Source organism: Homo sapiens, chromosome X (assembly GCF_000001405.40).
Source record: "Homo sapiens chromosome X, GRCh38.p14 Primary Assembly".
NCBI lineage: Eukaryota > Metazoa > Chordata > Mammalia > Primates > Hominidae > Homo > Homo sapiens.
Window position 1 is genome coordinate 66,752,812 of NC_000023.11, and position 27,908 is coordinate 66,780,719.

The following is a 27,908-nucleotide window of genomic DNA, read 5'->3' on the forward strand; positions in this document are numbered from 1 at the left end:
GCTTCTGAGTTGGCTTGGGGTTTATCTACTGGGTGCTGGTCCACTAGTCTGTTTCTCTGGCCAGGCGAATATTTTGCCCATAATTTCCACCTTAAAGATTTTATATTCAAAAACAGTCACATTCTGAGTTACTGAGGGTTAGTACTTCAACATAAAGATTTGAGGGTAGGCATTTCTGGCCATAACCATTGGCATCTGTATTAGTCCGTTCTCACATTGCTATGAAGAAATACCCAAAACTGGGTAATTTATAAAGGAAAGAGGTGTAACTGGCTCACAGTTCCACATTGTTGGGGAAGCCTCAGAAAACTTGCAATCATAATGGAAGACAAAGGAGAAGCATGCACCTTCTTTACAGGGTGTCAGGACAGAGTGAGTGCAAGCAGGGGAAATGACAGATGCTTATAAAACCATCAGACCTTGTGAGACTCACTCACTATCATGAGAACAGCATGGCGGAAATCGCCCCCATGATTCAATTATCTTCACCTGGCCCCCCTTGATACATGGGGATTATGGGGATTACAATTCAAGGTGAGATTTGGGTGGGGACACAGAGCCAAGTCATATCAGCATCATTTGGTTGTCTTTTCTCATTCATTTTGAGATTTTTTTTTTGCCTTTTCCAACAACTTTAATTCTTTATACTCGATATTTGCATTCTGAATCAGATATATTATACATATCATCTAATTTACCCATTTAAAGTATACAGTTTAATTGATTTTAGTAAATTCATGAACTTGTCCCTCCATCATCACGATCAACATTATAACATTTTTGTTACCACTAAAAGAGACCCTACAGTTCTCAGCAAGCATTCCTGAATCCCTGAGTGTCCCTAGCTGAAGGCAACCATTAACTTACTTTCCATCTCTATAGATTTGCCTAATCTGGACATTTCATGCATATGGAATTATACAATATGTAGTCTTTTGTGACTAGTTTCTTTCACTTAGCATAATGTTTTCAAAGTTTATCCATGTTGTAGATCTATCAATACTTCATTCATTTCAATGCTGAATGGTATTCTATCGCATGTATATACCAGATTTTATTTTATTTTTATATCCATTTTTTGGGGGGAACAGGTTGTATTTGGTTATATGGGCAAGTTCTTTACTGGTGATTTACGAGATTTTGTTGGATCCATAACCCGAGCAGTATACACTGAAACCAATTTGTAGTCTTTCATCCTTCACCCCCTTCCCACCCTTCCCCTTGAGTCCCCAAAGTCCATTGTATCATTCTTATGCCCTTGCATCCTCATAGCTTAGCTCCCACTTATGAGTAAGAACATACAATGTTTGTTTTTTTTATTCCTGAGTTACTTGACTTAGAATAATAGTCTCCAATCACATCCAGGTTTCTGTAAATGCCATTGACTTATTCCTTGTATGGTTGAGTAGTATTCCATCATATATATATATATGTATGTATGTGTGTGTGTATATATATATATATATATACACACACACATACATACATATATATATATATATTTATACATACATACATATGTCTCACAGTTTCTTTATCCACTCGTTGATTGATGGGCATTTGGGCTGATTCCACATTTTTGCAATTGCGAATTGTGCTACGATAAACATGTGTGTGCAAGTATCTTTTTTGTATAATGACTTATTTTGCTCTGAGTAGCTACCCAGTAATGGGGCTGCTGGATCAAATGGTAGTTCTACTTTTAGTTATTTAAGGAATCTCCACACTGTTTTCCAGAGTGGCCATACTCGTTTATGTTCCCACAAGCAGTGTAGAAGTGTTTCCTTTTCACCGCATCCACACCAACATTATTTATTTATTTATTTATTTAATTATGGTCCTTCTTGCAAGAGTAAGGTGATATTGCATTGTGCTTTTGATTTGCATTTCTGCAATCATTAGTAATATTGAGCATTTCTTCATATGTTTCTTTGCCATTTGTATATCTTCTGATAATTGTCTATTCATGTCCTTAGCATGCTTTTTGATGGCATCATTTGTTTTTTTTCTTGCTAATATGTTTGAATTCCTTGTAGATTCTGGTTATTAGTCCTTTGTCAGATGAATAGATTGTGAAGGATTGTGAAAAATTTCTCCCACTCTGTGGGTTGTTCTATTTACTCTGCTGACTGTTCCTTCTGCCATGCAGAAGCTCTTTAGTTTAATTAAGTCCCACCTATTTATCTTTGTTTTTATTGCATTTGCTTTTGGGTTCTTGGTCATAAAATCCTCGCCTAAGCCAATGTCTAGAAGGGTTTTTCTAATGTTATTTTCTAGAATTTCTATAGTTTCAGGTCTTAGATTTAAGTCCTTGATCCATCTGGAATTGATTTCTGTATGAGATTTTATTTATGAACTCATCAGTTGATAAACATTTGGATAGTTTCCGCGTTTTTACTATTATGGATAATGCTGCTGTGAGCATTCACATACATGTCGCTGTGTGAATAAACCTGTGTTTTTAATTTTCTTCAACACATACCAAGAAATGGAATTGCTAAGTCACAAGGTAACTCTGTATTTAACCTTGTAAAAAATTAACACAGTGTTTCACAAAGGGGCTGCACCATTTTACATTCCCAGCAGTAGTGTATGAGCGTTCTAATTTTCTTTATACCCAACACCTTTTTTTTATTTTTATTATAGTCATTCTACACGGTATGAAGCGATGGCTAATGATGTTGAGCATCTTTTTATATGCTTATTGGGCATTTAAATATGTTCCATAGATAATTGTCTACTCAAAGTGTTTTCCTATTAAAAAAAAATTCTAATGACACAGTAATTGTATATACTTATGGAATATAGTGTGATGTTTCATTACTTGTATACATTGTGTGATAATCAAATCAGAGTATTTAACATATTCATCACCTCATACATTTGTTATCTTTGCCCATTTGTATTGAATTATTTGTCTTTTTATTGTTGAATTTTCAAAGTTCTTTATGTATTTAGTTACAAGTTTTTTTATCAGATGTATGATTTTCAAAATTTTCTGCATTCTGTGGGTTACCTTTACACTTTCTTGATGGTGCCCTTTTAAACACAAACATCTTTAATTTTGATTATATAAAGTTTATCTGTTTACTTTTCAGTTGTGCTGTTGGTGTCATATTTAAGAAACTATTCCTTAATGTAAGGACACAAATATTTACACCTATATTTTCTTCTAAGAGTTTATTGTTTTATTTTCTATCACTGAAGTCTTTTGCATTTAGGTATTTGATCCATTTTGAGTTAATTTTTGTGTATGGTGTAAGGTATAGATCCAAATTTATTATTTTGCAAGTAAATATCCAGTTGTCCCAGCACACATATCAAAAGACTATTCTTTTTACCTTCAATAGTCTTTGCACCTTTGCTGAAAGTCAACTGTTCTTAAGTGTAAGAGCTTACTTTTGGACTCTGTCAACTGTGTTCCACTGATTTATATGTCAAATCTTAAACCAGAATCACAACGTTTTGATTACTTTAACCTTGTAGCATGTTTTGAGATCAAGAAGTGTGAGTCCTCAAAAATTTTTTCTTTTTTAAAGTTGTTTTTGCTATGCTGGCTCTTTTGAATTCTCACATGAATACTATTTTTAAGCTTTATCAAGGTATAATGGATGCATAAAAGTTGAACATATTCAATTTCCTTTTTTTCCTTGTCTGATTTTGAAATCTGGGTAATATTAGACTCATGGAAATAGTTAGGAAGTGCTCTGAAGTTGAGATTTTCTATGTTCTTGGTTTGACAAGTGATATTTTATTGTATCCTGACCTTTTGGATTATTATGATGTGAGACTCTGTATTGTATTTAATTATTGCTTTTTATTTCAGTCATTTACCTTGATAATGTATATCACACAAGTCGAAGTGAAAGCGGATGTTTAGTTTTCTGCTGGGCCTCACTGCTACCATCCTAACAAATGCAGAGCTTGAACTTCCACCATCTTGCCCTGTCTCATTGTCAAGCAGTGGTGGTTGAAATTCAGTTTCCTTCTTGGCCCTGCTTACACCTCTAAGCAAAATTAGATCACTGACTCATATGTTTCTGTTTGAGAACTTACTGTTTCTGTTTGAGAGCATGAAATTCAGCTCCACATTCTGCTCCCTCTGATAGGAGGGAAGAGGAGAGTAGGAGGGAGGTGAAAGGTGAACTACCACAAACTTGCATGGCTTCTTTCTGCAGCAATGACACTCGCTAAGTTGGTTGGAGTTAAATATTAGCTCTCTGCTACACCCTACTAACACTATGTGGGGTGGGCAGGAAGTAAAAGTATTGATGAATGTTGCCTAGCCCTACCTTATTGTGTCTTGTTGTTGGCAGCTGGGAGTGGAAGTTCAGCTTTTCCTTGGTCCTTGCTGATATGGATATTGGGGGAGGCAGAGTATCATTGAATAGAGTGTCATGTCATATTGCCTCATTCTGCCCTGTTGCTGCATGGTGGAAGCAGAAGACAGAAAATCAAGATTCCCCTTGGTCCCGCTGATACGGGGGTAAGGATGGGGAGAGAGTGCTGACTAGTACTATCCCACACAACTTTGCTCTGTTTCATTGCTGCTGAGTGGGGATTGAAATTCAGCACCACCAACATCTGGACCCTCCTGATACAACCCCTGCAAAAGCAGAGAGCTAACTCACACTACCTTTCAGTGGTTATAAGTAGAATTTTAGCTCCTTGCTAAGCTCTGCTCATAATACATTGGCAAGGAAAGTGCAATGCTAACAAGCACTATCTTGTACCACCTTGTTTTGTCTCTTTGCCACCTGGTGGGTACAGGAGTTCAGCTCCCTGCTAGGGCCTGCTGAAAATGGCAGGGATGAGGGTGGGGGAGTGGGTGGAAGAAAATTTTCTTCTGTTATTTGGCTGGAGAGGCAAATTATCTATCTATCTATCTATCTATCTATCTCTCTCTCTCTATATATATATATATATATATATATTTATATGTATATATTTAAGTTGTCTGTTCTGTTATGCCGCCCTTATCCCAATCCTTTGGCTACAAGAGCAGGATTTTCCTGAGGCTTATTTTGTATGTGTCTATTGTATGATTTAGGTTGCAGGCTTACAATGCCCCATCTGGGATATACGAGAGCCTAAAAGGAAACTCAGGGAGCTCTCACTGCATTGTTCCTCAAGTCCTGAAGACCCTGGGCAGCTTGCCTTTTTTCACACTTTAGAGTCTTTTTGTTTGTTGGTTGGTTATATTATATCCAGGTTTTTGTTGTTGTTGTTGTTGAGGGAGAACAGCGAGAAATGAGATGACTACTCCATCTTGGCCAGAAATGGAAGTCAGAAATCTGTGTTTTAGCAAGCCCTGCAGGTGATTCTGATGTGTGCCTCAGTTTGGAAACCATGGGTTTTGCATAGTCTCCTGACCTGTCATTTTTCACATGATGCCAATTGCAGTTTGATTTAGAACCATGGAATATCAGTGTTGGGTGAAACTGTGAAAGACCTCACTCTGCAAACTAAACAGGTGTTCCTGAAGACACAGCTTAAATATATCTAGTAATAGAAATCTCACTTGCTACCAAGTGAGCCTATTCCATCTTTGGCCAGTTCTTTTAGCAAGTTCTGCTTAGTTATGAGCTGAAAACTGTGTCTGTGCAGTTTATATCCATTCATCCCTGCTTTGACCGTCTGTCAGGCTTGAGATCTTCAGAGCTCTGAAGACAGAGACTAAATTCCCCTAAGTCTCCTCCAAGCCAAACTTCCCCAGCTCAAGGGAACTGGTTTCTGACTTCCTCCTCAGCTCAGTAACCTCCCTGTGGATATATTTCTGTTTCTCTGTACCCCTCATTAATTATGGGACCTAGGTTGAGTCTGAAAAAACAGAGTATCACCTTTTTGGTTCTGGGTAAATATTCTCTGAGGTGTACTTCACTGAATACTGGTCATGTAAAATATTCTGTAAAGAAAAATTTCTATGTTCAAATAAGTTTGGGAAACACTACCTGCCTTAATTCCCTCTTGGAGAGCCACAATAAACATTAGTGTTTTAGAGAATTGAGAAGTCCTTCAGTAAACAAAGCGTTTCCCAAATGTATTTAAATACAGAGCTTTTTTCACATAAACTCTTATTAATGCATGTAAAAGACTTTGAGTATTTTTTTAATATACACAGTATGTGGTTTTAAAAATTATTTATTCTTTAAAATAAATATGCACCATTTTACTATATTTAGACTACTATGAATATTTAAACATTATTTAGTTATGTTTCTATTTATACAGTTTAAAACACATTTCTTTCATTAGCCACATTTTTCCACTGACTCATACTAAATTTGCAGGTAAGTAAATTCCCTAACCTTTGAGTATAGAGGCCAATACTAAGCGCATTTCCTTTCTTTGCTGCCATCGTTTTGTTATAATTGTTGTTTGTTTGTTTCTGTGTTTAGAAACAAGTGCATAACCTTACATGTATATTCCAATTAAACTTCTTCTTGGTTTTGGCCCATCATCCCAGCATCTCCATTCCTTTTTGTCTGCTTAATCCTATTCAAAGTCCTGGTTCCACAATGAATTCTGCAAAGTGGGTGCTTAATAAATGTGGCTTAACTGACTGAGCTGAGATAATCTGTGGAAGAGTTTCATGCCCATCACAGCTGAGATGAGTTCAGCAAGCTCCTTTATTGGGTATATCAAGTCTTTGCTGATAATGGCCTTCAAGTATAGATCTCTAGCTGGTTAGGGACAGCCTCTCTGGAGCCTGGAAGGTGTAATGAGCAAACCGCTTAAGACCCATGCGAAGCCAAAGATTCTGCAAGAATGAAACCAAAATATAGAATAATGATAACAGCAATAACATTCTAAGCCCTTACATTTGCATGGCATTTTATAACTTTCAAAGCATCTTCACCTTACTCTTTAATTTGATCCTAATAACAACCAGCACAACAGACAGGATAGGTTACGATTGGAGTGAACACTGACTGGTACCACTTCTTGAATACTCAGATTAGAGAAGTCCACTGTGGATAATTTGGATTAATCCCCTACCTTTGTCTAGGAACCCCTCAACCATACAACATATAGGCATAGTGTAGCAGTTGCTAACATCAAATCTGTTTCAATTAAGCATTTTTATTTTACCAAATAGTGACTATTTAGTACTACCTTTGAGACTGACTGCATCTATTTGCATCACCCCTTCCAGTCCATATTTGTGATCTGAGCCCTTCCCCTTTCTCTGATCTTAGATTGCAAATTCATCTTTAATGTGAATTCTAGACTAACTCCATATATAACTCAGAGTTATATAGGTATATTGAGTATATAAATACCTTTTTGAACTTTTATTTCTTCATTTCTAATGTCACTGGCATTTTGAGCAGGAAGAGTTGACCTATCCCTAGGACCATGGATTTTCATGCTGGGAGTCTCAGGGAGAGAGAGGGGCTGACAAGGCAAGAGTCTGAGCATTTCCCTGACCTACTTAAACCAGAGTAGCAATGAATTTTCTACCTAGTTTAAAAGCAAGGGTTCTACTTCTTGAAAATAATGATCAACAAAACTCCTCAAAATCTGGACTAGATAATTTTAGAAGTCCTTTTTAACTTTGATCTTTTACGGTTTTGTGAGCTAGAATCCAAGGTGGGCAGTAGCAGAGTAGAAGTAAAATAGGCTTGCTAATAGATAAATAAATAAATAAACTTGTATTCTAGGTTCAGGGGGTACACGTGCATGTTTGTTTCAAGGGTATACTGCATGATGCTGAGGTTTGGAGCATGAATGAATCTGGCTTAAAATGGGCTTTCTTATCTATGGAGCCTAGATTTGTACACTGTCGTTAGAACTCTGGATATGTCTGTCTAGTAACAAAGCCCTCTCTTCTTTTTCTCCTATGCCTGTTGCTGTGTTGTCTACTTGTGATTCCTTTTTCCCTTCTAGAATATCACTGTAACCTGAAGGCACCTGCTCACACAAGTTGGTAAAGCTTTGGGGGCATTAAGGAAGAATGATTTCAGTAATAAAAATAGTCCAAATGGCGGCCTTAAAGATTTTGGCTGGGGCACATGGAATTTACATTTATTCCACTGGGTGGGGACATTTAACTACTTTTCATGTGACATAGAGTATCACTGGTGGTATTTCCCCTAGCATACAACCTAAATAAATTGTAGATGACAGGAGAAAGGCTGGAAGGAGGGAAGAATAAGGTTGATGAGACCTAAGCAGGCTCTCCTTAGTACCAGTGAGGCCTGAATCATCAGCAAATTTAATAAAATAGAGATTTTTAAAATTACTTTAAGTTCTGAAATACATGTACAGAATGTGCAGGTTTGTTACATAGGCATACATGTGCCATAGTGGTTTGCTGCTGGTATCAACCCGTCACCTAGGTTTTAAGCCCTGAATGCATTAGGTATTTGTCTTAATGCTCTCCCTTCCCTTGCCCCACAACCCCCAACAGGCCCCGGTGTGTGATGTTTCCCTCCCTGCATCCATGTGTTCTCATTAGTCAACTCCCACTTATAAGGGAGCACATGTGGTGTTTGGCTTTCTGTTCCTGTGTAATTTTATTGAGAATGATAGCTTCCAGCTACATCCAGGTCCTTGCAAAGGACATGAACTCATTCTTTTTTATGGCTGCATAGTATTCCATAGTGTATATGTGCCACATTTTCTTTATCCAGTCTATCATTGATGGGCATTTGGGTTGGTTCCAAGTCTTTGCTAGTGTGAATAGTGCTGCAATAAACATATATGTGCATATGTCTTTATAATAGAATGATTTATAATACTTTGGCTATATACCCAATAATGGATTACTGGGTCAAATGGTATTTCTGGTTCTGGATCCCTGAGGGATCACCACACTGTCCACAATGGTTGAACTAATTTACACTCCCACCACCAGTGTAAAAGCGTTCCTATTTCTCCACAGCCTTGCCAGCTCTGTTGTTTCTTGACTTTTTAATGACTGCCATTCTAACTGGAGTGACATGTTATCTCATTGTGGTGTCAATTTGCATGTCTCTGATGACCAGTGATTATGAGCTTTTTTTCATATGTTTGTTGGCTGTATAAATGTCTTCTTTTGAGAAGTGTCTGTTCATATCTTTCATCCACTTTTTGATGGGGTTGTTTGTCTTTTTCTTGTAAATTTGTTTAAATTCCATGTAGATTCTGGATATTAGACTTTTGTCAGATGGATAGATTGTCATTTTTTTTTCCATTTTGTAGGTTACCTGTTCACTCTGATGATAGTTTCTTTTGCTGTGCAGCTCTTTAGTTTGATTAGATCCCATTTTTCAATTTTGGCTTCTGTTGCAATTGCTTTTGGTGTTTTAGTCATGAAGTCTGCCTGTGCCTATGTCCTGAATGAAATTGCCTAGGTTTTCTTCTAAGGTTTCTATGGTTTTGGGTTTTATATTTACAAGTGGCTTATGGTTTGGGGCTTTACATTTACAAGTCTTTAATACATCTTGAGTCGATTTTTGTATCAGGTATAAGGAAGTGGTCCAGTTTCAGTTTTCTGCATATGGCTAGCCAGTTTTCCCAGCACCACTTGTTAACTGTGGAATCTTTTCCCCATTGATTGTTTTTGTCAGGTTTGTTAAAGATCAGATGGTTGTAGATGTGTGGTGTTATTACTGGGGTCTCTGTTCTGTTTCATTTGGTGTATATATCTGTTTTGGTATCAATAACATGCTCTTTTGGTTACTGTAGCCTTTTAGTATAGTTTGAAGTCAGGTACCATGGTGCTTCCAGCTTTGTTCTATTTGCTTAGGATTGTCTTGGGTATACGGGCTCTTTTTTGGTTCCATATGAAATTTAAAGTAGTTTTTTCTAATTATGTGAAGAAAGTCAATGGTAGCTTGATGGGGATAGATTTGAATCTAAAAATTACTTTAGGCAGTATGACTACTTTCATGAAATTGATTCTTCCTATCCATGAGCATGAAAAACGTTTTTTTCCATTTGTTTGTGTCCTCTCTTATTTTATTGATAAGTGGTTTGAGGTTCTCCTTGAAGAGGTCCTTGAAGTCCCCTGTAAGTTGTGTTCCTAGATATTTTATTCTCTTTGTAGCAATTGTGAATGGGAGTTAAGTCATGATTTGGCTCTCTGCTTGTCTATTTTTGGGGTATAGGAATGCTTGTAATTTTTGCACATTGATTTTGTATCCTGAGACTTTGCTGAAGTTGCTTATCAGCTTAAGGAGTTTTTGAGCTGAGATAATGGGGTTTTCTAAATATACGATTATGTCATCTGCAAACAGAGACAATCTGACTTTCTCTCTTCCTATTTGAATACCCTTTATTTCTTTTTCTTGCCTGATTGCCCTAGCCGAACTTCCAATGCAACTTTGAATAGGAGTGGTGAGAGAGGGTAACCTTGTCTTGTGCCAGTTTTCAAAGGGATGTCTTCCCGCTTTTCCCCATTTAGTATGGTATAAGCTATGGGTTTGCCATAAATAGTCCTTATTATTTTGAGATATGTTCAATCAATACCTAGTTTATAGAGAGTTTTTAGCATGAAGAGGTGTTGAATTTTATCAAAGGCCTTCTCTGCATCTACTGAGATAATCATGTGGGTTTTGTCATTGGTCTTGTTTATGTGATGGATTACGTTTATTGATTTGTATATGTTGAACCAGCCTTGCATCCCAGGGATGAAGTGTACTTAATCGTGGTGCATAAGTTTTGGATGTGCTGCTGGATTTGGTTTGCCAGCATTTTATTGAGATTATTTGCATCGATGTTCATCAGGGATATTGGCCTGAAATTTTCTTTTTTTGTTGTGTCTCAGCCAGGTTTTGGTATCAGGATGATGCTGGCCTCAGAAAATGAGTTAGGGCAGATGCCTTCTTTTTCTATTGTTTGGAATCATTTCAGAAGGAAAGATACCAACTCCTCTTTGTACCTCTGGTATAATTCAGCTGTGAATATGTCTAGTCCTGGGGTTTTTTTTTTTTTTTTTTTTGGTTGGTACGCTATCAATTACTGCCTCAATTTCAGAACTTGTTAGTGCTCTATTCAGGGCTTTGACTTCTTTCTGGTTTAGTCTTTGGAAGGTGTATGTGTCCGGTAATTTATCCATTTCTTCTATATTTTCTACTTTATTGGTGTAGAGGTGTTTATAGTATTCTCTGATGGTAGTTTGCATTTCTTGGGATCAGTGGTGATATTCCCTCATCATTTTTTATTGCATCTATTTGATTGTTCTCTGTTTTCTTATTTATTAGTCCATCTAGTGGTCCATCTATTTTGTTAATCTTTTAAAAAATCCAGCTCCTAGATTCATTGATTTTTGAAGGGATTTTAGTGTCCCTATCTCCTTCAGTACTGCTCTGATCTTCATTATATTTTTATCTTCTACTAGCTTTTGAATTTGTTTGCTCTTCCTTCTCTAGCACTTTTAATTGTGATGTTAGGGTGTCGATTTTTGATCTTTCCTGGTTTCTGTTGCAGGCATTTAGTGCTATAAATTTCCCTCTTAACACTGCTTTAGCTGTGTCCCAGAGATTCTGGTACATTGTCTCTTTGTTCTCATTGATTTCAAAGAAATTATTTATTTATGCCTTAATTTCATTGTTTACCCAGTAGTCATTCAGGAGCAGGTTGTTCAATTTACATGTAGTTGTGTGGTTTTGAGTAAGTTTCTTAATCCTGCATTCTAATTTCATTGCACTGTGGTCTGAGAGACTGTTTGTTATGATTTCGGTTCTTTTGCATTTGCTGAGAAGTGTTTTATTTTCAATTATGTGGTCAATTTTAGAATACGTGCCATGTGGCATTGAGAAGAATGTATATTCTGTTGATTTGGGGTGGAGAGTTCTGTAGATGTCTATTAGTTCCACTTACTCCAGAATTGAGTTCAAGCCCTGAATATCTTTGCTGATTTTCTGTCTCATTAATCTGTCTAATATTGACAGTGGGATGTTAAAGTCTCCCACTATTATTGTGTGGGAGTTTAAGTCTCTTTGTAGGTCTCTAAGAACTTGTTTTATGAATCTGGGTGCTTCTGCTTTGGGTGCATATATATTTAGGATAGTTAGCTCTTCTCGTTGCATTGATCCCTTTACCATTATGTAATGCTCTGCTTTGTCTTTTTTGATCTTTGTTGGTTTAAAGTCTGTTTTACCAGGGATTAGGATTGTAACACCTGCTTTTTTTTCTTTTCATTTGCTTTGTAAATATTCCTCCATCCCTTTATTTTGAGCCTATGTGTGTCTTTGCATGTGAGATGGGTCTCCTGAATACTGCACACCAATGGGTCTTGACTCTCTATCCAATTTGCCAGTCTGTGTCTTTAATTGGAGCATTTACCCCATTTAAATTGAAGGTCAATATTGTTATCTGTGAATTTGATTCTGTCATCATCATGCTAGCTGGTTGTTTTGCATATTAGTAGATGCAGTTTCTTTATAGTGTCATTGGTCTTTATATTTTGGTGTGTTTTTGCAGTTACTGGTACTGGTTTTTCCTTTCCATATTTAGTGCTTCCTTCAGGAGCTCTTGTAAGGCAGGCCTGGTGGTGACAAAATTGCTCAGCATTTGTTTGTCTGGAAAGAATTTTATTTCCCCTTCTCTTATGAAGCTTAGTTTGGCTGCATATGAAATTCTGGATTGAAAATTCTTTTCTTCAAGAATGTTGAATATTGGCCCCCACTCTCCTCTGGCTTGTAGGGTTTCTGCAGAGAGGTCTGCTGTTAGTCTGATGGACTTCCCTTTGTAGGTAACCTGACCTTTCTCTCTGGCTGCCTTTAACATTTTTTTCTTCATTTCAACCTGGAGAATCTGACGATTATGTTTCTTGGTGTTGCTCTTCTCGAGGAGTACCTTAGTAGTGTTCTCTATATTTCCTGAATTTGAATGTTGGCCTGTGTTGCTAGATTGGGGAAGTTCTCCTACATAAAATCCTGAAGTGTGTTTTCCAACTTGGTTCCATTCTTCTTGTCACTTTCAGGTACACCAAACAATTTTAAGTTTGGTCTTTTCACACAGTCCCATATTTCTTGGAAGCTTTGTTTGTTCCTTTTCATTCTTTTTTCTTTAATCTTGTCTTCACACTTTATTTCAGTAAGTTGATTTTCAATTTCTGATATCCTTTCTTCTGCTTGATCGTTTCAGCCATTGATACTTGTGTATGCTTCACGAAGTTCTCATGCTGTGTTTTTCAGCTCCATCAGTTCGTTTATGTTTCTCTCTAAACTCTTTATTCTGGTTAGCAGTTCCTGTTACCTTTTGTCAAGGTTCTTAGCTTCTTTGCATTGGGTTCCAACATACTCCTTTAGCTCAGAAGAGTTTGTTATTACCCACCTTCTGAAGCCTGTGTCTGTCAATTCATCAATCTCATTCTACATCCAGGTTTTTTTTTTCCTTTTTTTGGAGAGGAGTTTTGATCATTTGGAGGAGAGGAAGCATTCCGGTTTTTGGAATTTTCAGCATTTTTGCACTGTTTTTTTTTTCCTCATCTTCATGGATTTATCTACCTTTGGTCTTTGAGGGTGATGGCCTTTGCATGGGGTTTTTGTTTGGATGTCCTTTTTGTTGATGTTGATGTTGTTGCTTACTGGTTGTTAGTTTTCCTTCTAACAGGCCCTTCTTCTGCAGGTCTGCTGCAGTTTGCTGGAGGACCACTCCAGACCCTTTTCGCCTGGGTATCACAAATGGGAGCTGCAGAACAAAAAAGATTGCTTCCTGCTACTTCCTCTGGAAGCTTTGTCCCAGAGGGGCACTGGCTTGATGCCAGCTGGAGCTCTCTGGTATGAGGTGTATGAGGTGTCTGTCGACCCCTGTTGGGAAGTGCCTCACAGTCAGGAGGCATGGGTGTCAGGGACCCACTTGAGGAGGCCCTCTTTCCCTTAGCAGAGCTGGTGTGCTCTGCTGGGAGAATCTCTCTTGTCAGTATCAGCTGCTTTCTTCAGAGCCGGCAGACAGGAATGATTAAATTTACTGAAGCTGTGACCACAGCCGCCCCTTCCCCGAGGTTCTCTATCCCAGGGAGATTGGGGTTTTGTCTGTAAGCCCCTGACCAGGGCTGTTACCTTTCCTTCAGAGATGCCCTGCCTAGTTAGGAGGAATCTAGAGAAACAATCTAGCCACAGTCACTTTGCTGCACCTAGCCCAGACTTCCCAGCCTCCTTAGCACTGTCAGGGGAAAACCACCTACTAAAGCCTCAGTAATGGCGGACAACCTGAGACTTTTTTATTGTTGTTCTCTTGATTCTGCCTAGAAATAGAACCTCACTTAGATCTTAGAAGTCAGAAGGAAATACAGTCTAATAGAAATGGGCCAACAGGGCTTGAACCAGGATACAACAGGAAATATATTGCTTTTATAATTTGCTGAAGGGAAGACAACGTTAGGAATGGGTCTGGCTTTAGGGTGTTTAGTGAATGTAAGTTTATCCTGGCTTAAAATTGTTAAGGGAAAATTCCTAAATGCCTGTTACTGAGATGAGGAACATATGTCCTCTCTAGCATGGTACAAAAGATACTGGGAAGCTGTAGGCTCCTAACACTTTCCTAAACTTCTCACACCCTAACTACTATGCCTAAAATTCATACAGTTTGTCTTATCACCATAACTCCACAAGGTCCCTCTTAAGGGCACTGAATATAAGAGGCACTATCTAGAAACATTTTAAGGGATATCTTGGAGGGAATGAGTAAGGTCTGTTAGCTAGCCAGTAAGGAGTAGGCACTGGATCTTGGATAACATAATGGTTTTAGGAGAATAATTTTCTTCCTGGGGTGCAAAAACTTTACTTTCCCTGCATCTGATTTGAATGTAGATAGATGTTTGCTCCTGGAAGTTCAGGGAGACAGATTTTAGCTTGATATAATAAATAACTTTCAATGTGGGGTGTCATATTAAAGAAGGCCACAATTTCTTTTATATTCCTTCCATTGAGAGATGTTGCCTATGTCCCCTTTCTTTGGCTCTGGTTAGGCTCTGTGGCTGCTTTAATCAGTAGAATATGGTGACAGTGGCCCTATGCCAATTTCAGGGCCTAGGCTCTAATAGATTAACAGTTTCCATTTCGTGTCCCTCGAACACTTTCTGGAGACCCTGGGATGTCATGTAAGAAGTCTTAGTAGTCTGAGATCACCATGCTGAAAATAACATATATAGGCAACCTCACTTTTAGTGCCAGCTGATGCCAGCCTTTCAGCATTCTCTGCAAAAGAATCAGGAATATGAATAAAGCCATCTCGGCCCCTTCAGACCAACCAATTTCTCAGCTGAATACCATCAAGTGACATCAGTTAGTATCAGGTGGAGCAGAAAATTCAGCCAGCCAGATCTTACCTGAATTCCTAACCAACCAAAATAATAAGGTATAATAAAGTGGTTGTGTTTTAAGTTACAAAAGCATTGGAGAATAGTTTGATACACAATAATACATAGCCAGAACAGTCAGAGATATGCAAAGATAAACTGGGCTGCTTCTGATCTGCCTTTGGTCCTTGGAGGTAATGAGATTCCTGTCACTAGAAATGTATAGGCAGGGCCTGAATAGCTACTGGAGAGAAAGTTTTATAGGAGATCTCAGTAACAGAAAAAAAAAAATACTATTTGAATCATTAGTTTCTAAATATAGCTTCCCCCTCAGAATCTTCTGGAATGATTGTATAGAACACATATTCTTGTCTCCTCTATTAGCCAAGATTCTCCATAGATACAGAATCAATATAATTGTTTGTTTGCTTGCTTGCCTGCTTGTTTTGAGGAACTGGCTCATGTGATTGTGGAGGCTTGGCCAGTCTAAAATCTAATGGGGGATGCTGGAAGGCTGGAGACTCAGGAAAGATTTGCAGTTTAAGGCCAAAGACAGTCTGCTAGGGAACCTGGAAGAACTGATGAAATCCCAGGACTGATGTAGCAGATGACATCTGAAAGGAATCTGCTAGAAAATTCCTTCTTGCTGGAAGGAGGTCAGCCTTTTGTTCTATTCAGGCCTTCAACTGATTGAATGAGGCACACCGCATTATGGACAGCAAACTGCTTTACTCAAAGTTCACCAATTTAATGTAAAGCTCATAGAAAACACTCTCCCAGAAACATCCAGAATAATGTATAACCAAATATCTGGGTACTGGGACCCAATCAAAGTCAACACATAAAATTAACCATCACAACCTCTCCCCATCCTCCACCACAGATTCCAATTTAGTAGGTCTGGAATGGGCTTTGGGAATATTTATTTTTAGCAAGCTCCTTAGCTGATTCTGATCTTCAGCCAGGTTAGGCACTCACTGTACAAATGTAACTATAAGTTATTTTGTAGCCCAGAGTCTAGGTATGTGTAAGAAGTTGGTGCTAAAGTAATCTAGTTCAACTTATTTACACAAGCCCACTTACCAGGCCATTTCTTGGCACTGGACTGGTGTAGCAGAAGGTTGATCCCTGCTGAACCCTGCAGAAAATCCTCCAGCTGCCACTACTAATTCAGTCCTTGTGACTTCACTTTTTAGAGTCAACATTTCAGATGGACATTTAGGCCAGCTGATCCTTTCTCTAGCTTGTTCTCCAGACCTAGGACCCAGGCTGGGGCATCTGAAATCTTTACCGTGAAAAGAAAAAAGTCATTTCATACACCCCTCTGTTTATACACAAGAATTCATTTTAGTTCTCAGAGAAAGACAAAGATGTGGCCTCCATCCAAAGAGAAAAGTGACTTTCTTCTGCTAACTAAAGCTATCATGGCCCATGTAATCAGTCTTTTATTCTGAACTCTAGCTGACTTTTCTTTGATGAGCTTTGTTATTTGAGAAATTGAACAGAATAATTATAATAATAGTAATTACAATGGCTAACCCTTGTTATGCATTCGGTATATGGTAGGCAGTCTTCTGAATGCTTAAAAATGGCAATAGTTACAACAGTCCTACGACACATAGTGTGTTTTCTTATCATGCTCATTTTTCTCTCTAGGGAACTGACACACAGGGAAGTGCTTTTTACATAGTTACAGAGCTGGTAAATGGCAAAATTGGAATTTGAATTTAGACACCTAGGTTCACAAGCCTGCACTTGTAATTATTATGTTAAGCCGTTTCTGGTTTCAGAAGCCCACTGATCCTGGAGGAAGATCTCCATAAAGAGCTAGCCAGGCGTCACTGATTTCCATCAGCATTCTTTTCTTTGAATTTTTCTTTTATTTTTATTATTTTAATTTTTGTGGGTACAAAATAGGTGTATATATTTATGGGGTACTTGAGATGTTTTGATATAGGCATGCAATGTGAAATAGCACATCATGGAGAATGGGGTATCTACCCTCTCAAGCATTTATCCTTTGAGTTACAAACAATGCAATTACACTCCAAGTTATCTAAAAATTTGGAAGTAAGTTATTGTTGATATTAGTCACCCTGTTATGTTATCAAACAGTAGGTCTTATTCATTCTTCCTATTTGTTTGTACCCATTATCCATCCCCACCTCCTGCACAGCTCCCCAGTACCCTTCCCAGTCTCTGGTAACTATCCTGCTCTCTATCCTCATGAGTACAATTGCCTTGATTTTTAGATTCCACACATAAACCAGAACATGCAATTGTCTTTCTGTGCCTGGCATATTTCACATAACATAATAATCTCCAGTTCCATCCATGTTGTTATAAATGACTGGATCTTATTCTTTGTTATGGCTAAATAGTACTCCATTATGTATATGTACTACATTTTCTTTATCCATTCATCTGCTGATAGACACTTATGATGCTTTCAAATCTTAGCTATTGTAAACAGTCCTGAAACAAACGTAGGAGTTCAGATATCTCTTCAATATACTCATTTCCATTTTGAGGGGCATATACCCAGTAGTAGGATTGCTGAATCATATGGTAGCTTTATTTTTAGTTTCCTGAGAAACCTCAAAGCTCCATAGTCATCGTATTAATTTACATTCCCACTAACAGTGTACAAGGGTTCCCTTTTCTCCACATCCTCACCAGCATTTATTATTGCCTGCTTTTTGGATATAAGACATTTTAATTGGAGTGATATGATATTTCAGTAGTTTTGATTTGCATTTCTCTGATGATCAACTATGTTGAGCACGTTTTCATATGCCTGTTTTACATTTGTGTGTTTTCTTTTGAGAAATTTCTTTTCAAATCTTTTGCCCATTTTTTGAGTGTATTATTAGATTTTTTCCTATAGATTGGTTTGAGCTCGTTATATATTATGTTAATTAATCCCTTGTCAGATGGGTAGTTTAGAAATAATTTCTCCCATTCTGTATGCTGTATGTTGTCTCTTCGCTTCTTTCCTTTGGTGTGCAGAAGCGTTTTAACTTAATGTGATCCCATTTGTTCATTTTTGCTTTGGTTGCCTTGATTGTGGGTATTGCTGAAGAAATTTTTGCACAGTCTAATTTCCTGCAGAGTTTCCCAAATATTTTCTTGTAGTAGTTTTATAGTTTGAAGACTTAGACTTAGGTCTTTAATCCATTTTCATTTCAGTTTTGTATATGGTGAGAGATAGGGGACTAGTTTCATTGTTCTGCATATTTATATCCAGTTTCCCCAGCAACATTTATTGAGGATACTGTATCTTCCCCAGTGTATGTTTTTGAAACCTTTGTTGAAAATGAGTTCATGGTCAGTGTGTAGATTTGCTTCTGAGACTTTGATTCTGTTCCAGTGGACTACGTGTCTGTTTTCGTGCCAGTACTATGCTGTTTTTTTACTAGAGCTCTGTAGTATAATTTGACATCAAGTAATGTGATTCTTCCAGTTTTGTTATTTTTTATTATACTTTTTATTTTTATTTTTTTCAGACGAAGTCTCACTCTGTCACCCAAACTGGAATGCAGTGGTGCTATCTCTGCTCACTGCAACCTCTCCCTCCCGGGTTCAAGTAATTCTTCTGCCTCAGCTTCCTGAGTAGCTGGGACTACAGGTGCATGGCACCATGCCTGGCTAATTTTGGTATTTTTAGTAGAGACAGGGTTTCACCATGTTGCCCAGGCTGATCTTGAACTCCTGACCTCAAATGATCCACCTGCCTCCTCGGCCTCTCAAGGTGTTGGGATTACAGGCATGAGGCACTGCACCCAGCCCCAGTTTTTTTTTTTTTTCTTTAGGATATCTTTGCCTGTTCTGGGCCTTTTGGGCTTTCATATACGTTTTAGGATTTTATTTCCATTTCTATGAAGAATGTCATTGGTATGTTGATAGGGATTGTATTGAATCTGTAGATTTCTTTGAGGAATATGGACACTCTAACAATATTATTTCAATCCAAGAACAATGGAATATATTTCCATTTTTTGTGTCCTCTTCAATTGCTTTTATCAGTGTTTTATACTTTTTACTATAGAGTTCTTTCACTTCTTTGGTTAAGTTAATTGTTGGTATTTAATTTTATGTGTGCTTGTTGTAAATGGGATTAATTTTTAAATTACTTTTTCACATTGTTCACTGTTGGCATATGGAAATGCTACTGATTTTTGTATGCTGCTTTTGCATCCTGCAACCTTACTGTATTTGTTTCTCAGTTCTACAGTTTTCTTGTGGAGTCTTTTTTTCCATATCTAAGAACACATCATCTGCAAACAAGGATAATTTTAATTCTTCCTTTCCAATTTGGATGCTCTTTATTCCTTTCTTTTGTCAGATTGTTCTGGCTAGGTCTTCCAGTACTATATTAAATAACAGTGGTGAAAGTGGGCATCCTTGTCATGTTACAGATCTTGGAGGAAAGGCTTTCAGTTTTTCCCCATTCAATATGATACTAGCTGTGAGTCTTTCATATAGGCTTATATTGTGTTGAGGTATATTCCTTCTATTCCCAATTCTTTGAAGGTTTTTATCATGAAGGGATGTTGAATTTTATCAAATACTTTTTCAGCATCAATTGAAATTACCATATGGTTTTTATTCTTCATTTTGTTGACAGGATGTATCACATTGACTAATTTGCATAGATTGAACCATCCTTACATCCCAGGGATAAATCCCACTTGGTCATGATGAATGTTCTTTTAAAAGTATTGTTGGAAATAGTTTGCTAGTATTTTTTTGAGAATTTTTGCATCACTATTCATCAGAGATATTGGCCTGTAGTTTTCTTTTCTTTCTTTCTTTCTTTCTTTTTTTTTTTTTTGAAGTGTTTTCATCTGGTTTTCATGTGACAGTAATACTGGCCTCATAGAATGAGTTTGGAATCATCCCCTCCTCCTCTATCATTTGGAATAGTTTTAGTAGAATTGGTATTCTTTAAATGTTTGGTAGAATTCTGCAATGAGGCCATCAAATCCCAGGTGTTTCTTTACTGGGAGTCCTTTTATTATGGCTTTGATCTTGTTACTTGTTACTGATCTTTTCAGGTTTTGAATGTATCCTGGTTCATTCTTGGTAGGATGTACGTGTCTAGAACTTTGTCCATTTCTTCTAGGGTTTTCAATTTATTGGCATATAGTTGCTCATAGTAGCCATTAATGGTATTTTTAATTTATGCAGTATCAGTTGTGATGTCTCTTTTTTTTCATTTCTCATTTTAGGTATTAGGATCTTCTCTCTTTTTTTCTTAATTTGTTAAAAGGTTTTTCAATTTTGTTTAACTTTTCAAAAAACAACTTTTCAAATTAATCTTTTGTATTGTCTTTTTCATTTCAATTTCATTTACTTCTGCTCTGATATTTATTATTTCATTTCTTCTACTAACTTTGGCTTTCATTTCCTCTTGCTTTTCTAGTTCTTTAAGATACATAGTAAGATTGTTTATTTGAAGTTTTTCCTCTTTATTGATGTAGGCACTGGTAACTGTAAACTTTCTTCTTAGTATTGCTTTTGCTGTACCCTATAAATTTTTGTATGTTGTGTTTACATTGTCATTTGTTTAAGTAAATTTTTCAATTTTCTTTTTGATTTCTTGATTATATCCCTGGTCATTCAGGAGCATATTGTTTCATTTTTACATACTTTTGTAGTTTCCAAAATTTTCTTGTTATTAATTTCTAATTTTATTCCATTGTGGGCAGAGAAGATGCTTAATATTATTTTATTTTGTAAAAAATGTTTAAGACTTTTTGTGACCTAACATATGGTGTGTCCCTGAGAATGATCCATGTGTTGAGGAAAAGATTGTGTATTTTTCAGCTCTTGGATAAAATGTTCTGTAAAATGTATTAGATCCTTTTGGTCTATAGTGCAGATTACATATGAAGTTTTTTTGTTTATTTTCTCTCTAGAAGATCTGTCCAATGCTGAAATTGGGGTCTTAAAGCCTCCATTTATTTTGGTACTGGGACCTATGTCTCTCTTTAGTTCTAATAATATTTTCTTTTTATATCAGGGTGCTCCAGTGTTGTGTGCATATATACTTAAAGTTGTTAAATCCTTTTGCTGACTTGAACCCTTTATCATTACATAGTGATCTCCTTTGTCTCTTCTTACAGTTTTTCTTTCAAATCTATTTTGTCAGATATAAATATAGCTACTCCAACTCTTTTTGGGTTTCCATTGGCATAGAGTATCTTTTTCCATGCCTTTATTTTCAGTCTGTGTGTGTCTTTATAGGTGAAGTTTGTTTCTTGTGGGGTCTTGATTTTTCACCTGTTCAGCCAGTTCATCAATGGGTCTTGTCTTTTCACGTGTTAAGCCAGTCTATGTCTTTTGATTAGAGAGTTTAGTCCATTTACATTGAATGTTATAATTTATATGTAAGAACTCACTCCTGTCATTTTGTTATTTGTTTTCCTCTAGTTCTATCCCTCCTTCCCTCCCTCTCTCCCTCCCTCCCTCCCTTCCTTCCCTCCCTCCTTCCTTTTCTTCCTTTCTTTCTCTTCCTATAGTGAAGGTGATTTTCTCTGGTGATGTGATTTATTTTCTTGCTTTTTATTTTTTGTGTATCAATTGTATATTTTTTGGTTTGAAGTTACCACGATGCTCACAAATACTATCTTATAACCTGTTATTTTAACCTGATAACAACTTAACACTATTTACATAAACAAACAAAGGAGCAAAAAGAAAATTGATAAAAACTCACCTTAACTTCTTACCATCACTTTTTAACTTTTCATTGTTTGTATAATATTGATATCTTATTGTACTATCTATATCTTGAAAAGCTGTTGTAGTTATTATTTTTGATTGGTTCATCATTTAATCTTTCTGCTTAGAATAAGACTAGTTTATACACCACAATTACAGTGTTACAATAAGTGTATGTTTTCCTGTGCACTTGCTATTGTCAGTAAGTTTGGTACCTTCAGGTGATTATTTATTGCTCATTAGTATCTTTTCCTTTCTGAATGAAGTACTCCGTTTAGCATTTCTTGTAGGACAGGTCTGGTATTAACACAATCCTTCAACTTGGGTTTGTCTGAGAAAGTCTTTTTTTTTCTCCTTTATGTTTAGAGGATATTTCCACTTGATATACTATGTTAGGGTAAATGTTTACTTTTCTTTCCTTTGGCACTTCAAATGTCATGGCACTGTCTCCTGACCTATAGGGTTTCCACTGAAAAGTCTGCTGCCAGATGTATTTCAGCTCCATTGTATGCTATTTGTTTCTTTTCTCTTGTTGATTTTAGGATCCTTTCTTTATCTTTAACCTTTGGGAGTTTGATTATTAAATGCCTTGAGGTAGTCCTCTTTGGGTTAAATTTGCTTGGTATTCTACAACCTTCTTCTACTTGGATATTGATATCTTTCTCTAGGTTTGGGAAGTTCCCTGTTATTATCCCTTTGAATAAACTTTCTACCTTATCTCTTTTCCTACTTTCTCTTTAAGGCCAATAACTCTTAGATTTGCCCTTTTGAAGATATTTTATAGATCCTGTAAGCATGCTTCATCTTTTTATTCTTTTCTCTTTTGTGTCCTCTGTGTATTTTCAAATAGTCTGTCTTCAAGCTGACTAAATCTTTCTTCTTCTTGATCAATTCTGCTATTAAAGGGCTCTGATTCTTTCTTCGGTATGCCAGTTGCTTTGTTCAGGTCCAAAATTTCTGCTTGATCATTTTTAATTGGTTTAATATATTTGTTAAATTTATCTTATAGAATTCTGAATTAGTTCTCTGTGTTATATTGAATTTCTTTGAGTTTCCTCAACACAGCTATTTTGAATTCTCTGTGTGAAGAGTCCCATATCTTTATTTCTCGAGGATTGGTCCCTGGTGCCTTACTTAGTTCAATTTGTAAGTTCATGTTTTCCTGCATAGTGTTGATGCTAGTAGATGTCCTTCAGTGTTTGGGCATTAAACAGTTAGGTATTTATTATAGTCTTCACTCTCTGGGGTTTTTGTAGCCATATTTCTTGGGAAAGTTTTTCAGGTATTTGAAAGAACTTTGATATTGTTATCTAAATGGTATATGCTTTACAGGGTACCCCAAGCCCAATAATACTGTGATTCTTGCAGACTTGTAGAAGTACTGCCTTGATGGTCTTGGACAAGATCTGGGATAATTCTCTGGATTACCAGGCAGAGGCGGTTGTTCTCTTCCCTTACTTTCTCCCAAACATAGAGTCTGTCTGTGTTCTGAGCCACCTAAAACTGGGATGGAGTGAAACAGATAGCCCTGTGGCCACCACATCTATGACTGCACTGGGTCAGACCTGAAGCCAGCACAGCACTGGGTCTTGTCCAAGTCCTGCTGTTACCATTCCCTGGCTACTGCCTATGTTCACTCAGTTCCCAGGTTCTCTACCCCCACTATGGCTGTGCTCGTGCCTAAGGTGCAAAACAAAGCCCCCTTTACATTTTCCTCTCTTTTTCTCTAACAGAAGGAGTTTCACCCCATAGCCACAACAGCTAGTAATGTTCTGAGTTTCACCTGAAGCCAGCAAGTCTCAGAGGCTCACCCAAGACCCTGGATGTAGGACCTGGGTATCGGTTCTGATTAAGACCGAAGAGTTCTTCAGTTAGCAGGTGATGAATGCTGTCATGACTGGGCCCTTTTCTTCAAGGCAGCAAGTTTCCTTATGGCCCAAGGTGTGTCTCAAAATGTTGTCATGGAGCTAGATCCTGGAACAGGGACCTCATGACTCTGGCCAGTGCCCTATCCTGCTGTGGCTGAGCTGGTATCCAGTATCCTAGATGCAAGACAAAGTCCTCTGCACATTTCCCTTTCCTCTCCTCAAGCAGAATGAAGGAGTCTCTTTTGGAACTGAGCTGTGAAGCCTAGGGTTGAGGATGGGTGATGCCAGCACTCCCTTGGCTGCCCCAGCTAGTGTCTCAGTATGTCGCATGTCCTCTTAGTCCACAGTCTCTTGGCCTAGTTCAGCACTGTCTCCTCCCACATTCTGGACATTCTATACTTATTAACACAGCTTAAGGTGGTGTTAATATTTGGGGCACCCCATTATTCTCTGTACTCACAAGGTCTTGCAAACATCTAACCCTTCCTTTAAGCATTTTTTCACTTTAGGCACTGAGCTTCATCTTATGAAAATATGCTGTGGTAAGATGAATAAAGACCCCCAAGATGTTCACATCCTGATTCCCTGGACCTGTGAACATGTTACCTTATGTGGCAAAAAGCACTTTATAAATGTGATTAATTTAAGGATCTTAAAATGGGAAGATTTTCCTGGAATGTCCGAATAGCCTCAGTGTAATCACAATGGTCCTTATAAGAGGGAGATAAGAATGTCAGAGTGGGAGAGAGATTTGAACATTCCATGCTGCTGGCTTTGAAGATGAAGGAAAGGGGCCATGAGCCAAGAAATGTAGATGACCTCCTGAAGCTGCAAAATAAAAAAAAAAATTATTCACCCCTAGAACCTCCAGAAAATAACTGAGCCCTACCAACACCTTGATTTTAGTCCAGTGAGATCTCTGTTGGACTTCTGCCCTCTAGAACTATAAGGTAATCTATTGTTATTGCTTGTTTTATTATTTACTAAGTTAATGATTATTTGCTACAGCAGGAAGACACAAATAATAAAAATCAACAGTTTTGTAGAAACTTTAAAATGACAAAGCATTCTAGAATGGAAGACTAGAGCATCTAGTTTAACCAGTGAGGACACAAAGATTCAGAGAGGGAAACGTACTTATCCAGAGTCACATAGCAAGTTACTGGTAAGACTGGGACTGGAATCTAGGTTTCTTACGTTTTGGGGTAGGGTGATTTTCCCCACCTGTTAGCTACCTCTCATAGAATAAGACATAACTTTCAGAGAATGAACTGTGGTAAAGAGAAGGGAAAGAAGTAGTCTGAGGTGCCAGAGTAAGTCAGTGTCAGAGCCAAACCTCTGATCCAAGTCTCCAGATTCTTGTGTTTCTCCATTTTACCACATAGTCTGTTGCCTGTCTTTGGTTCAAGCATATGTCTAATTTCCTTTCATTATTTGCAGCCATTTTTTTTTTTCTCCTCTAGCTTCATTTACCTATGTAGTTCTGAAATAGTGACAGGAGTTGAGAAGGAGTGAGGGTAAAAATCCCTCATCTGGTTAATGTGCCAGCACAGCTTTTCATGGTGGCAGAGCACTTGACACTTGGAAACATTTCACTTTGCAGCCAACCTTTGTAAAAGCCTATTTTGTGTTGGTTTTGTTTAATAGGAAATTAAAAAAAAAAACAAATTCCAAAGTTTTCCTTAGCACATTTTGTCTGTAGGGAATTAATGCAAATTATTGTGCTCTTTGCTCTTGTTCTAAGCTACTAGCTTTTTTGAAACTCGGGGATGGGAACCTGAGATGGGATGATGAGCATGTTTAAATAGTGCAGAGATTGTGAAAGACTACAGGACTAGCAAGCTTTCTTTGGAGGATTCTGTCACAGACCCAGGAGTCAGATAGACCTAAGTTCAAATCCTAATTTCATGACTCATTAGGTGTGTCAATTTTAGCAAGTCTCTTCACTCATTTGTAAAGTAGGGATAGCAATGGCATTGACTTTTTATAATTGTTAAAATGATTAAATAAGATGTTGAACATAAAAAACGTAGTAGAATATTTGACACAGAGGAAGCTCTCAATAAATGGTACCTACTGTTTTGCTCTTGTTGTTTTCACATTGCAAAAATGACAAAGTCTGAGATATGCAGAGCAAGCTGACATGGCAAAGCCACCCAGTTCTTTTCCAGATCCAGCAAGTTCTCAGTGCTCTAGGCTTGGTAAGGCTCTGGGCTCAGTAGATATTCATTCCCAAGGGCAGCCCAGAGCCAGAAGTTAAAGTAGGTAGGTAGAACTCAGGAATCATAGGATCTAATCTGATATTTTCCCTGACTTCCTCAGTGACCATGACCAAAAGACTGCCTTCCCAAGGCTTCAATAGCCTCATCTACAAAAGAGGAGGAGGACAGATTAGATTATTAATTCATTCACTCATTTATTCACTCTAGCACATCTAACCACTGATACTTATATCCTGGCTTAAAACATATAGGCAATGAAAAACACTTTGTCAGGTCAGTGAAATGGTCTAATTTATATTTCCCAGATACAGCATGCTTGGAAATGTGGAAAATGATCTGGAAGGGGAGAAAAGAGGGCAGAGAGACCTTTTCAGAAGTTGGTGTGATGTTCCATGCAAGTAATGGTGAGGACTTGAATTGGGGTAGAAGCACGACCACAAAATAGCCTGCTAACAACTGTGTAAACACTGAACCACAACAGCACTGGACCATGTGGTTGATTCCCCAAGAGGTATTTTCAGATGGGTTGACTTTATTGTGTCTCTTTTTATATACTACAATGTCACTTTTACACATTTCAAAAATCATGTCAGTGGTGTGGCACACATTGGAAGGTCTGGTCTCAGAAGTGTAAAAAGCATGGAGCACTTCAGCTTGCAACCAGCTGTCATCCTGGATTCTCCTCAGAGGAAGCCAAAAGTACTACACTTCAAACAAGCTTTTTGAAAAAAGGCCAATGTATGCATTGTGCTTGGTATGGCTACGGGAGAGTAGTGAGTTAGACTTCGAAAACTACTGCAAGTAGTGTCTATGCTAATAGATACCTAGACCCCTTTGTCACCAGCATTTAGGGTTGATCGTGATCTATTTCAATGCTATGATGTAATAATACATTTTGAAAATTATTCTTAAGATTTAAACATTTTTCTGATCATTAAAGATGTATTTGTGTTGTGGAAAATGTATAACAAATGCTAATCATACATAACAATATTTACTGAATGCTAACACCATGTGAAAGACACTGTGCTATGCACATTGCATACATTATTTAATGTATCCTCATAGTAGTCCCGTGAGATAGATACTTTTACATTCTCCATTTTTAGGTAAGAAAACAGACTCAAAGTGACTTGCTCAAGTTTACATAGCTAGTACATGGTAGAGCTAGAATTTGTGGCCCATTCTGTCCAGCTCTAAAGTTTGCATCTGTTTTTAACTTTTTTCTTAATTAAAAAGAGATAAATATGCACATAGAGAAAAACCTACTTTTTATTTCACCATCCAGAGGCAAACACTACTAATATTCTGGCACATTTTCTTCCTGCCTTTCTTGGATATTTTTTAAAATTTTATATTTGAGAGATAACAGACTTTAAAGGAAATGTGAAACTCTTCCCTCACCATTCGGTGAATGGAATGATATAAGGAGGTAAGTGGAATTACTCTAGTAGGTAAATAAATAATAAATGAATAAATAAATAAGAGGCTTGGTGCAGTGGCTCCTCCCTTTAATCTCAGCACTTTGAGAGGCCAAGGTGGGTTGATTTCTTGAGCTCAGGAGTTGGAAACCAGCCTGGGAAACATGAAAAAACTCCTGCTCTACAAAAAAATAAACTATCCGTGTGTGGTGGCACATGCCTGTGGTCCCAGCTACTCCAGAGGCTGAGGTGGGAGGATCGCATAAGCCCAGGAGGTCGAGGCTGCAGTGAGCCATGATGATGCCTCTGCACTCCAGCCTGTGTGACAGAATAAGGCCCTGTCTCTCTCTCTCTCTCTCTCTCTCTATATATATATATATATATATATATGAAAATAGAAGTAAAATGTCTCAAATTGCATCATTCACACACAACCACT

General features: G+C 37.5%; 1 long non-coding RNA gene across 1 annotated transcript; it reads left to right on the forward strand.

Moving 5' to 3' along the window:
* The first annotated feature begins 4,324 nt into the window (after positions 1-4,324).
* Positions 4,325-27,560, forward strand: LOC105373240 (uncharacterized). The gene is made up of 3 exons (XR_938422.2): positions 4,325-4,486; positions 23,692-23,836; positions 26,354-27,560. It is a non-coding gene; the product is annotated as an uncharacterized LOC105373240 (long non-coding RNA).
* Positions 27,561-27,908: the final 348 nt, after the last annotated feature.